This window comes from Homo sapiens, chromosome 6, assembly GCF_000001405.40.
Source record: "Homo sapiens chromosome 6, GRCh38.p14 Primary Assembly".
Classification (NCBI taxonomy): domain Eukaryota; kingdom Metazoa; phylum Chordata; class Mammalia; order Primates; family Hominidae; genus Homo; species Homo sapiens.
Genome location: NC_000006.12, coordinates 155,689,112 through 155,702,548, shown reverse-complemented (window position 1 = coordinate 155,702,548; position 13,437 = coordinate 155,689,112). Strand labels below are relative to the sequence as shown.

The 13,437-nt window shown below is 39.7% G+C and overlaps 1 long non-coding RNA gene across 1 annotated transcript; it reads left to right on the top strand.

Moving 5' to 3' along the window:
* Positions 1–4,714: 4,714 nt before the first annotated feature.
* LOC105378069 (uncharacterized) lies at positions 4,715–12,907 on the top strand. The gene is made up of 3 exons (XR_943135.1): positions 4,715–4,776; positions 12,369–12,440; positions 12,672–12,907. It is a non-coding gene; the product is annotated as an uncharacterized LOC105378069 (long non-coding RNA).
* The last annotated feature ends 530 nt before the right edge of the window (positions 12,908–13,437 follow it).

Below are 13,437 nucleotides of genomic sequence, written 5' to 3'. Positions count from 1 at the left end.
AACCATATGATCATCTCAACAGACATGGAAAAAGTTTTAATAAAATGCAGTATCCCTTCATGATAAAAACCTTTAACAAACAAGGCACTGACGAAACAAACCTGAAAATAATGAGCCATCTAATTACAAACCACAGCCAACATCACACTGAACATGCAAAAGCTGGAAGCATTCCTTTAAGTGAAACAATACAAGGACACTTGATCTACCATTTCTATTTAACATGATGCTGGAAGTCCTAGCCAAGAGCATTCAGGCAAGAGAGGGAAATAAAAGCCACCCAAATAGGAAAGAGAAGTCAAACCATCTCTCTTCACTGATGATAGGATTCTGTACCTACAAAACACCAAAGACTCTGCCAAAAGGCTCCTAGTACTGAAATGACTTCAGTTTCAGGATACAAAATCAATGTACAAAATCAGTAGCATTTCTATACACCAATAACACTCAAACAGAATTAAACAAAAATGCAATCTCATTTACAATAGCCACACACACAAAAATACCTAGGAATACGTCTTCTGGATTTTGAAGGCCCATTTTTTCAAGGGGAATTGGAACATGATTGATGACTGCATGTTTTAGGAAGGCAAATTGTAACTCAATGTAAAGAAACACGTCACGCCAAATAGCAAATGGGTACTTGGTAAAGGTGTGAGATTCTCACACAGAAATCAGCTGGGCAGAGGCTAAAGAAACATCTGTGCTTCTGTAGAAGCACACATACACATCACTAAGGGAAATTCAACCAATTCAGTAGAAAAGCAGCATATTGACTGGAGACTTTCATGTTGGCCCTCAGACCCATTCTCCTCCTTTCTCCACCCTGTTCTGGGCCTGCAACGATCATAGCAGCAGGTTCCCTGGTCCCTGTGGCTCCTGGGGGAGTCAAACAATGGAAACACTGGCAGGAAATGAGAGGGAAGACAGAGACTGATGTCTGAGAATTATCTTTCCTATCCCCTTACACCTCTTTCCTGATGGGGCCACCCGAGGTTGACTTCATCCTCCACAGCTCCCATTACAACCTCTGATGCCCTCCGCAGGGATCAAATCAGGGCCGTTACCACTCCCTTCCTTCACACCTTCCAGCCTAAGAGTGTAACGAGAAGCAGCACTGTTATCTGCTTTGGGATCCTGCCTACAGCTTTGTAAATCACCTTTTTATTAAAATCTCCTCCAATTCCTCAGTGTGGGTGTGCCGCTTGTTTCCTTCTGGAACCCTAACTGATTCAATTCATGACTTTGCGGCCCCTCACATTAGAAGAAATGCAAACGGCATCTCAGCCATCTAGGAAGAGAAAACTCAACAGCATGATTAATCCTGAAAATGCCAAATAAAACCAAAGGGATATCATCTCACACTCGCCAGATTGGCAAAAGTTAAAAAACACTTGATAGTAACACATTTTGGCAAGAATGTAGAATAGTGGGAACTCTCACAAACCAATGGTGGGAGTGTAATTGGATACAAACACTTCAGAAAATAATTTGACATTTCCTAGAAAAGTTGAAAATGTGCATAACTTATGATCCAGCTATTTCACTGGCAGGCATAGACCAGAATGTACATCCTAGCAATGTTTATAACAGAAAAAATCCTGGAAATAAACAACCCAAATATCCTTGGAGAGAAGAATAGATAAATACATCATGGTATGCTCATAAGATGAAATACTCTCTGGAAATGAAAAATAAATAAATAAACTCACCTGTACTCCTAGCACTTTGAAAGGCTGAGGCAGAAGGATCACTTGAGGTCAGGAGTTCGAGACCAGCCTGGCCAACATTATGAAAGCCCATCTTTACTGAAAAAAAAAAAAAAAAAATTAGCTGGATGTGGTAGCACGTGGCTGTAGTCCCAGCTACCTGGGAGGCTGAGACAGGAGAATCGCTTGAACCCGAGAGGTAAAGGTTGCAGTGAGCCAAGATCGCGCCACTGTGCTCCAGCCTGAGCGAGAATTTGTCAAAAAAAAAAAAAAAAAAAGAAAGAAAAGAAAAAGAAAAAAGAAAAATAAATAAGCTAAAGCTACACACATCAACATAGTTGATGTTCTAAACATAATGGAGAAAAAGAATAGCAATTTGCAGAACATCTTCAGTATGATGCATTCATAAAATGGTCAAAGGTGTGCAAAGCAGAATGAGACTGTTTAAAGGATACATACATATGTGGTAAATCTGCAAAAACAAGCATAGGAATAACACACACAAAAAAAATTCAAGATGTCATTTACTTCTGATACTCGGGGGTTTGCGGAGGTATATCCAGGGACTCTTTGAGGATTGGTAAACTCTATCTCATAAGCTAGGAGGTATTTGAATTATTGTTTTACTTTATATTTGTGACATACATTTTAAATATTCTTTTTGCATGTATTCCAGTTTTAACAAACTATTAAAGAAGAAGTTTAAAAAGCCCATAATAAAAACTTAAGTATGATATTAACTAACAGATTATGAGAAAACTGTGACACTGTTTGTAGTAGTTTAATGCTGCTGCATGGTTAACTACCACAAGCTTAGTGGCTTAAAACATCCCACATATATTATCTCCCATTTTCTGGGCACGTCTCAGCTGGATGCCCTCCCAAAAGGCAAAAGCCTGAGAGATTTTCTCAATGTCCCCAATTTTTTCTGGGCTCTGTCTATTATTACCTGCCACTGCCTATTTTCTTTACTGTACCTATCACTGTTTGCAATTATTTGTTCACTTATTAATTATCTGTGCCTTCCCCACCTACAGACTAAAAGCTCCGTGAGGACAGGGTTAGGAAAAGGATAGTTTGCTCACCCTAGTATTCCCCAGCCTCCCCGTCAGCCAGGCAGAGGCCATGTGGACTGTGAGCAGAAGTGACTTATGTCACTTCTGGACCAAATCATTAAGAGTCAAGGTGTCTTCTTCATTCCAATTTTCCCCTGCTGCCATGACTGTTTGGAAGCTACCTTTTTCAGATGGTACAACCCCAGGAGAAGGAGGGTCTCCAACCTGCACCAGATTTCCATGAACAAGAAGTACATTTTTTGTCATGTTATGCCAGGGAGATAAAAAGCTCAGTTTGATTCCTACAGTACTCCATATCCTAGTTTGACGATTTTTGTTGTTTTCTTCATCATTTTACCTTCAATATTTAGAAGAGTGTCTAGGACATTGTAAATGCTCACTGAGAGTTGTTGAAAGAAAGGAAAGATGGGAAGAATAAAGGAAGGGTGGGAGGGAGGGAAGGAGGAGGAGAGAAAGGGAAGGAAGGAGGGAGGGTAAAAAGACAAAGAGAAAAAGAAGAAGGAAGGAAAGAAAAGGGGGGACAGAGGGAGGAAGAAAGGAATGGAGGAGAGAAAGAAATTGCTAATGAGGAAATTTAACATGAAAGGAGATACACATGCTTACATAGGGCCTTCTCCTTCCCCATGTGTACTGCGACATACTCCAATTTGTAGCCATTAGACCTGACTACTGGCTCTGCCACTTCCTAGGCGTGTGACCTTGGCCAAGTCACTCACCTCTCTCATTCTCCTCATCTGTAAAATAGGGATAACAGCACAGGAGTACTGAATTTTTCAAAAAAATGCCCTCTTCTTATTTACCCCATTATTAAATGTATCCAGCATTTTAATGTGAAGTGCTATAGCATATTATATATGTATTTTAGCATCTAGTGCTCATAATTCATTTTTAGGATCTTAAATTTTAAATTGACCTGACTCTGTAACTACTTTGCAAAGTTGTTGGGACAGTAAATGTGTAAAAATTCTCCAAATGCTTTACAAACTGTAATTTAATATACAAATAGGAAGCATCATTGCAGTTCAGCTTCCTTTGGCTTTGCTTTGAGCTAAATCTATTAAACAGAAAATTATTATACACACTAATATTGGTTAGTAAAGAGATAAAAGAATGAGAAAAAGTCATAATGGGTATATTTCTATATGGAAATATATATATATATAGTCTAATCACAACTAAATCAAGACTATGTCTTATGTGGTTATTAGTGATAAAATTTTAGGTGTTGATCATCTAAAAATGGCTATGACATGGAAGGAAAAATATTATACTTAAGAATAGCGTGTATTTTTTTTCAGGCCCTGTGTTGTCATTCCCAAGAAGGGATGGCAGAGATTGGAGCGTTGAGGTATAAGAGTATTGGCCTAAACAAAGTCATTAACAGAGCCTGAGCTGGGAGCCCAGAGGGCTGGCGCAAGTCCTACACATAACATCTGATCTCTTCTCCTATTACTAGGGAAATTAGAAGCTGAAGAAACCCAGGGACACATTCTGTAAAGATTAGAGAACACTTTTCCAGTTGAAAAAAAAAACAGAAGTTGCTCCAATAAATGTGTGGGGAACCACATCAGAGACACTGTGTTTAAGAAAGAAAGTTTAGTTCTAAAGAGTAGTGTGAACTACACTTCTGAAATTAGTCAATCAATTCATAAATACACCTTCATATCTGTCCTGTGTCCAATATGGTAGCATAATAATAGAAGGGCTGAAAACTTCCTGAATTCCCAATAACACATCTCTTTTTTTTTTTTTCCAGACAGTGTCTCACTCTGTCACCCAAGCTGATGTGCAGTGGCACTATCTCGGCTCACTGCAGCCTCAACCTACCTGGGCTTAGGAGATCCTCCTGCCTCAGCCTCCTGAGTAGCTGGGACTATAGGCATGCACCACTAAGCCTGATTAATTTGCTTATTTTTTCTATTTTTCATAGAGAGGGGGTCTTGCCATGTTGCCCAGGCTGCATCCTAAATTTTCAGGTTATCAATGTTAAGGTGAGTAATGAAATGTGTTATATATTAGGTTCACATATTTAAAAATCTTGTTTCATATGTATTTATTCAGCACTCACTGATGAATACATTAGACACAAAGTACATAAATCAACAGAAATCATAGGTTTACACATATTCTGTAAGCTTGATTGTTCATGCAGTGGAGTAACTGGTCCTGAACAGCACCTCTCAGCCATGAGGCACAAACAGTTATTTCTCACAAGACAAGACAAGCTTTCTTTTCACACCATCATCATACACAAACATATTTTGCATTTTTCAGTCAATTGGCCTCTGCTCTTCATTTTATAACTGCCTGATGGAATTCTGGTCCAGGCACTGGAGTACTTAATTTTTTTTTAAAATGCCCTCTTTTTATTTACCTCATTATTAAATGTATTCAGCATTTTAATATGAAATGCTACAGCATATTACATATGTATTTTAGTGTCTAGTGCCCATAATTCATTTTTAGGATCTTAAATTTTAAATTGACCTGACCTTGTAACTAACAACAGTAGAATCCAGTAGTTTTGGCACCTAAATTCATCCATTTTCTGGATGGAATCAAGAAGAGTAGTAAACTTAAAAACAAACAAACAAAAAACTGAATCCGCTTCAAAAGTATCACATTTAATTTATTCTATGATAAAGCAGAATCTAAATTTGTGGCTCAAACTCAACTTGAGAATTAAGCTGCACGAGCAATAAGAACTCTGTTTTGGATGCTTTGATAAAACTTCCTTTGCTGCTTACTAGTCTAAATTAATATCTAGTCTCACTTTTGAAAACGCTTTGATAGCCCTGAGTTCGGAGCTGTTGCTTCCCTGGGGGATGTAGACGTTACCTTCGCATTTCCAATATCCACAAATAGCTCTTTATCTTTTCTTGAATGAAAGGTCACATACTCTTTTGTGGCTGTCCACCAAAGTCCAGTTTTCTGCCTGTGAAAACAGCTGCAGCTTTCAGCTCATTTGCAGATAGAGATGAAAAGTCAGAGATGAGCTCATTAAGCCCTTCTAAATTTGGATGAATTCCCCCACTTCTCTGGGTTCTCTTTGATAATTCAGCTCTTAAGTGCCCCATAAGGAAGTGGCCTTCCCGAATTCTATTACTTCATTTTTACAACATCAAAAAGTTTTTTTTAATATACAAGTAGAATTTTTATCAAAGGAAAATAAGCCATCAAATTTTAAGAAAATGTTATGGAGTTCCAGTTATTATAGCAATAATTTTCAGATACAATAGCCATTATGAACAGGTTTTTTTTGGTTTCATTTACAGAGCTATCTTAGTAGTAGTAAAAATATGTTTTAAACTTTAGATTTCAGTAAATAAGTCCACATTTTGAGCTGAGATAACTTGTCCAACCAAGTCAGTGTTTAGTATGTCCTATAATTTATCATTTACTTGTCAGCTTTATTATCCCGCAGTGAATGCCTGCCTCGGGGTGGGGGCCTTTTACTGGGGTTACTGGAGTGTTGTTGGATGGGGAAGGGGAATAAGCACCTTACAATTAAACAACCATCTTCCAGCACTTTGAGGAATCTCTTTTAGATCTAAAATGACATAATGGAATGGTGGTGTTTTCTGTGAAAAGCATGGCTATCTCCAGTTTTCAAACTGGCAAATCTGAGTCTACCCAGCACAAGATGGAGGAGCTCCTTGGTAATTGCCTGGACAACGTAGGCAGCAGAGACTATCAAACCAGATTACCGTGACTTCAGATTGGAATACGATCAGGCTGTCCACATATTGGGTTTTATTTTTTTCTTTCGCTTCAGAGACAGGGCCTTGCTCCGTCGCCTAGGCTGGAGTGCAATGGCACAGTCACAGCTCACTGCTGCTTCAACCTCCTGGGCTCAAGCAACCCTCTTACCTCAGCTTCTTAAGTAACTGTGGGTATGACAGCAGGTGATCTAGGTTATTAAAGATTCCACCCCCTGACCCCCGCCACTTACAAAACAAATGAAAACATGAAACTTATAAAGGATGCTATAGACAAAAGGCAATCATGTAGAATGCTGCAAACAGAAAGGCCTGTGGTATGATGCCTTTTTAACCTTAGCTGTGGGTATGACCACAAGTGTGCGCCACCACACCTGGCCAGTTTTTGTGTTTTTTTGTGGAGAAGCGGGTCTTGCTATGTGGCAAAGGCTGGTCTGAAAATCTTCGTCTCAACAGATCCTCCCGCTTTGGCCTCCCAAAGTGCTGGAATTACAGGCATGAGCCACCACGCCCCAGCCTGTGCACACATCTGAAATTAACCAAATCGTCTGCTAGTCTCTACTTGACAGACTTCTGTATACAAAACATCCAAGACCAATTACAAATGACAACAAAGGGCAGCAACAAACGCTTAACAACTGTGACCTTAATTCTATCATCTTAAAACTGGGCTCATGCCAATCTCAAAAGATTTTTTTTTTTTTTTTGAGATGGAGTCTCACTCTGTCACCAGGCTGGAGTGCAGTGGTGCAATCTCAGCTCTCTGCAACCTCTGCCCCCCAGGTTTAAGTGATTCTCCTGCCTCAGCCTCCCGAGTAGCTGCGATTACAGGTGCATGCCACCACACCCAGCTAATTTTTACATTTTTAGTAGAGACGGGGTTTCACCATGTTGGCCAGTATGGTCTCAATCTCCTGACCTCATCATCCACCCACGTCGGCCTCCCAAAGTACTGGGATTACAGGCATGAGCCACCACGCCTGGCTTCAAAAGGTTATTAAGACAATATTTTGGTGTCGCTTTTGCTTACAATAAACATTCAATAAATATATGCTAAATAGATGACCCCAAAGTGCTAGCTTAAAGTTCATTTTTCCAGCTACCAATGAAAACCAAAGTATTTGGGCTCAGAGAAGCTGACATATTAACACTATGATATAGTCTAGTTCATTTAAATTAGATGACCCACTAAATTGTGTTGGAAAGGCCCTGGATATCAAGTCCAGGCTAAGAAATCTGGAGGTTACTGAGAAGAGAAATTTGTTATAAGGAGCTCTTCAATCAGGGTAGGCAAAAAGCAGCATTATGGTGAAGAGCAAGTTTAAAAAAAAGAACCAAGAGCAAGGCCAAGCTTCTTCCAGATAATCTGGCCTATAGTCAGATTCAAACCATAAAACATTCTCATGGTGAGTGACTTAGTTACAAACATTACAGTTCAAGGGAAAATGCAGATCCTGTGCCCGACCACAAGGCTTCTTTGTGTTTTTTTATTCTATCCTGCTGGAGAACTCTGCTATATAATTTATTCCATTCCTCCAGAGAGTTAATATGGCAGCTACCTTCTTTAGACTGCGTTAAAATTACCTTAAAGTATACTTTATCGTTATAGACCTTAGAAACTCCCATTGTTTCTAAATACTAAGTTTACTACTCATAATTTAGAACAAGGACAAAATGCTTTTTTTCATAGTTCCAGTCTGTCCTTCTGCCCTGGACTAACCAGTACCTGATTCCTGGAAAGGAAAGTCAGCCTGTTCTAGTTAATTATTTACTGTGAAGCATTTACATCACATGTCAGATAAAGGTTTATGCTGTCCACATAAATCTCTACAACATTCGGTGTCACATATCATAAAATATGAGATCAATTATTTTACACGTAGGAAGTTGTTCATTTTCCCTATTTCCTCAGTGCTTTGGGATGGCATGGGCAGTTTCTTTAACTCAAGGTTAAACGTGTTGGCATAACTTAGATAAAAATTGGTGGTGGCCTGGCACATTTCCAGCATCAGAGGTAATCATACCACAGGCCTTTCGGTTTGCAGCGTTCTACATGATTGCCTTTTGTCTACAGCATCCTTTATAAGTTTCATGTTTTCATTTGTTTTGTAAGCGGCGGGGGTCAGGGGGTGGAATCTTTAATAACCTAGATCTCCCGAGACTCCAGATGCCTTTTTAACCTTAGCCGTGGGTATGATATACCCACTTGAGCAATGAAAACCATGTAGAGTGTTGGAGACAGTGTCACCTGCAGTGACTGCAGAGAAGCATTGCAGACCCATAAACAGGCCTGACCAAACCTTTGCCTTTGCAGAGCATCTGGAGACAAGAGCACACGTAGGATAAGAGAGCTAATGAGTGTCAAAGTCAAGAGCAATAAGGTAGATAAAAACCTCATTCTCCCCACAGTGTGATCTTAGCACAATTGGGCTATATTTTACTCTCCAGAATTCAAAGTTTTATTTTAAATTCTGCACATCACAGCCATACTAAATATCCCCTTAGACAAGACACAGAGCTGCTGAGTAAGACCCCTGCAAATCAGCAATGCTTTTTCATAAGACCAGCATCCATAATTTATATCTGCATACAATTAGCCTGTTTACATTCACACATTTTTTGCTTCCTTTTATGTGAAATATTCCACAGGATAGTTGGTAATGCATTCAGAATAACCTTTTTAAAATAAAGACTCCAGGACCAAACAGTTTATAAAATCCAATACCTAATAAATACTTTATACGAATAAAAAGTGTTTTCTTAATCAGAAACAGTATATTTTATTTGAGCTAGTTTTTCTTGCCTCCCAGGCCAATGGCCTGGCATCATATGGATCTTTACTTTTTAAATGTATGCAGAAAAAAAATGCTACTGTATTCCTTGGTGGTTGCTTGCACACAAATATCACAACCTTTTTTTTTTTTTTTTTTTTTTGAGATGGAGTCTCACTCTGTGGCCCAGGCTGGAGTGCAATGTCATGATCTAGGCTTACTGCAACCTCCATCTCCTGGGTTCAAGTGATTCTCCTGCCTGAGTCTTCCAAGTAGCTGGGATTACAGGTGTTCGCCACCACACCCAGCTTATTTTTACATTTTTAGTAGAGATGGGGTTTCACCATGTTGACCAGGCTGGTGTTGAACTCCTGACCTCAAGTGATCCACCTGCCTCAGCCTCTCAAAGTGCTGGGATTACAGGCATGAGCCACCACACCAGGCCACAACCTTTCTTTTGTCCAACAGGATAAGTTTTATGACCATGCTAAGTTGGCCTTGGAAAAGCCAACCCCTTGTACTAATATGATACAGAGAGACCAAAAAATCAGTCAGTAGTACAGAAATTTAGTATTCATGCTACCAAGATTCTGAATTCCCTAAATATATTTAGCCTGGTAAATGGATTTCACTGTTGGGAATGCAGGCAGCAGAGAGGGAACTTCACAAATTCAATAAGTTAGGCATTTGCCTGCAGTGGTCTGGATGGCTAGAGGTTCAGCCAGGTTGGTGTCAGGGGCTGGGCCAATAAGCAAGCCCTCCCTGCTGTCACTTCCAGGATCCCCCTGTTCTCCTCTTTCCACCAGCCAACTAGAGCAGCATGGACCTGAGCCATCTGAAGCAGGAACCAGGATTTACAGCAGCTTCCATGCCTTTCTAGGGTGAAGTGAGACCCTAGCTTGCCCCAGAGTTGAGCTTGGCCATGTCAAATCCTCCCTGAGCCTTGTGATCCTGGAAAACAGTGACTGTTCAGGGAATCCTGCACCCTATTGTGTTTTGGAAAAGGGCTTACTGCAAATAACCACTCTACCTGTAGGACTCAGACTTACAGACACCTGCCCCCTGGTTTACCTAGGACAAGTTAAGACAAGGGAGACACAGACTCCCCAAATTCCCTTTCTTGACTCATAAATGAGGAGCTGAACTGCTTTTCTCTGCTGATCAATTGACATACATCTTGGTCAAGCTTCTCTTCTTCCCCCAGGTCCTTAAACTTTGGCCCTCCCTCAGCGTTAGCCAGCATGCAGCCTCTCCTGAGAACACACTGGCCTCAAAGTCAAACATTCTCTGATCTGCGATCTGACCCAGACCCGTTCATTCCACCACCTCACATCCAGTTCTTTCCAGCTTTGTCTACTTCTCTCTGTAAATGAAAACTCCTTTTTGCAGACTTAATTGTCCCAGCATTCACTCTAGGGCAATACCCGTCGCCCCGCCCTGCTTAGTGCAATCGTCTCTCTCCCCTCATTCCTTTTACAAAAGTCCTTTTGAATGAAAAGAATCCTTTTGGATTTTGAATAAAATCCTAAGTCTAGATTTATTTTTTCCTTGACAAGCTCCTACCTGAACACTAAGCCTGTGTGTGTGTGCGTGTGTGTATGTATGTGTGTGTGTTTGCTTGCGCCCATGCGTGCATATCGTGGGGGGGAACCTGAAAAGATATATAGTATTTGCGAGAAGTGTAACACTGGGCTGCAAATTCACACATTTGCACATTTCTCTTATTATTAACAATGATACTTAGACCTTTGATTTACTAATGGATGAGAATTGTTGGAACAAAGACTTGGTGCTGATTTCCTGATGGATTAACTTTATCAGTCTGCCTCTCTCAAGCCTCACATCTATATTACTCAGGAACCCTCATGTACAGATACACCCCTCCTGGTCCCTGAGTTATTCTAGAATAGAGTGGAAAGCAGATTAAACCCTCAACTCTTCCACATGGAGTTTGAAATTAGCCTCGCCATTTGGAATTTGGCTCAACATCATAGAGCTGGTGTAGGACAGATCTTAAATATCCCCTTGGGCATATTTGCTCCCAAACTATGGCCTTCCTCAGATCATGTCATATTAATACAGGTCCAAATAGAGGCTCTAGGATTGATATTTCATCACAAGGCCAGCCTTTCTCTTGCAACATCCCACCTAGGCCTGAATCCAGAGATCACATCACCATCCCATGCTTAATTTTGAGCATCCCAGGCTGCTTCCATTCTTGCTGTAACCCCTATTCCTGCCCAAATTAAGCCTGAGCTCTCCAAGTGCCTTTGGACAAACGCATTGGCCTCCAATTGCTGGCCCCAGAACTTGGTAAGTTTCCCCAGACCCTTGTCCCTTCCTGGTTCTGGATTCCTCAGCCACAGAATGTTATAAGAACTTCCAGAATAACGTACAGACTAAACACTGCTTACCAAAATTACCGTACATCAGGAATATTCAGCCAAAAACAACTGTAACATTTCCAAGTCATTCCACATCTAAATAGAAATAAAATCTTGTAGAGATATTGCCCAAAAGCCTCAGTTCATTGTAGCTATTAACAAGAAGAGGAAAAAAATGGCTCTTGAATAAAAGAATCACTAGAGTACTTAAGTGAGTTTTGAGAACTTGCTATCAGGAAAATATACATGTATAGAAATTAGTCATTGGAAGTCTTAACTAGTAACATCTCCTAGTACTGTATCTTCATTAATTAACTCATTTATTCAGCCATTCATTTAGGTATTCATTCAAATAATTACTACTAAGGTCTCTATACATGCCAGGCACTGCATTAATATCAGGAACTCAACAGTGAACAGAATAGACCGAACACCTGCCCTCACAGAGGTTGAGCAAGGGAGCATATAAAGTGGGTTTTAAATATAAATCAACTTACAGAAATTTGATATGCATATAGATTATAGGGTAAGTTGTACTTGTCCATGCAATGAATTATAGTTACCAACGTAATGAGCTAGAAAATACAATTAGTCAGCAGGCTTCCAGTTTGAGATCTTGAGACTTTTTCTTCCTTGTCACTAAAATCCACACATCTATGAGCTTTCTTTCTTAATCTAAAATCTGGAGCTCTCTTCTCTTTGATTTCAGGAAAGAGGAATCAATGCCAAGACTCAATATTAGAAAAACGAATGGGCATGCACGACACATCAGTGAAGGAACGTAAGTGTTTTTTCTTTGACACTGTTGGTTTCAGCGTACAATACAAGTCAGTAGGAAGGTACTTCAAAGTCCTTGACATGTATTGGAGAGTTTTCTTTCTGGATGTTGGAAAACTCATTTTGAGGATGTCAATGGGTTATAAAATTCTGCATAAATAAATACAGTTACCATTGATTATATTTTCCACTGGGAAGAGTGAATTACAAGGAGATGGCTACATTTATTTTTCAGAATGAAAAATGAGCGCATAAAGGAATCAAAGAGTCTGCTGCACCACCCTGAAGACCTGGGCTACTTTCATCATTGTCATGTTTGCTGTTTGTTTGTTTGTTTGTTTATACTTACCCTGCCTATTCCAGTAAGATTTAAGGCAGCTGTCTCTCATTTTCTTAGCCTCCAATATACACGCACTTTATTTATTTTGTGATCAGTGATTTAAATTATTATATTCCAGACCATAGCATATGATTGTGAAGCCATTTTTAGTCTTGCTTTTTAAATTCATCGGAACTGAGATTGTGTGTTTCTGTGTGTGTGTGTGTGTGTGAGAGAGAGAGAGATTCTTTATTTACAGGCACAACTACACAAGTAAACCCACTCTGCAAGAGCAGAAATGAAAATCTGCAGAGATTAGGAGATTAGAGAATCCAAAAACAGAGATAAGAGGCAGGATTTCAAGAGAAAACCAGAAGTAAATTTTACGTAAAATTCCAAAATATTGCTTCAAATCTGAACTGACTCAAATATACCAGATAAATATGGATGCATCCTGATACTGTCAGGATGTCAACAGCTCCCAAATTCCCATGACAAAGATTTCATAGACTGTTGGTATGAGGGCATTGGAATTAAATCCAGTAGTTCTTGACTGTGAGTTTATAGATATTTTTGAAACTTTAATGCAATTTTTAATTGCAAATATAAAAAAAACCTCTACACACTACTTTAGGAGACCCCTCAAATCCTTTCATGGACCACAGATTCAGAGAAGATGACC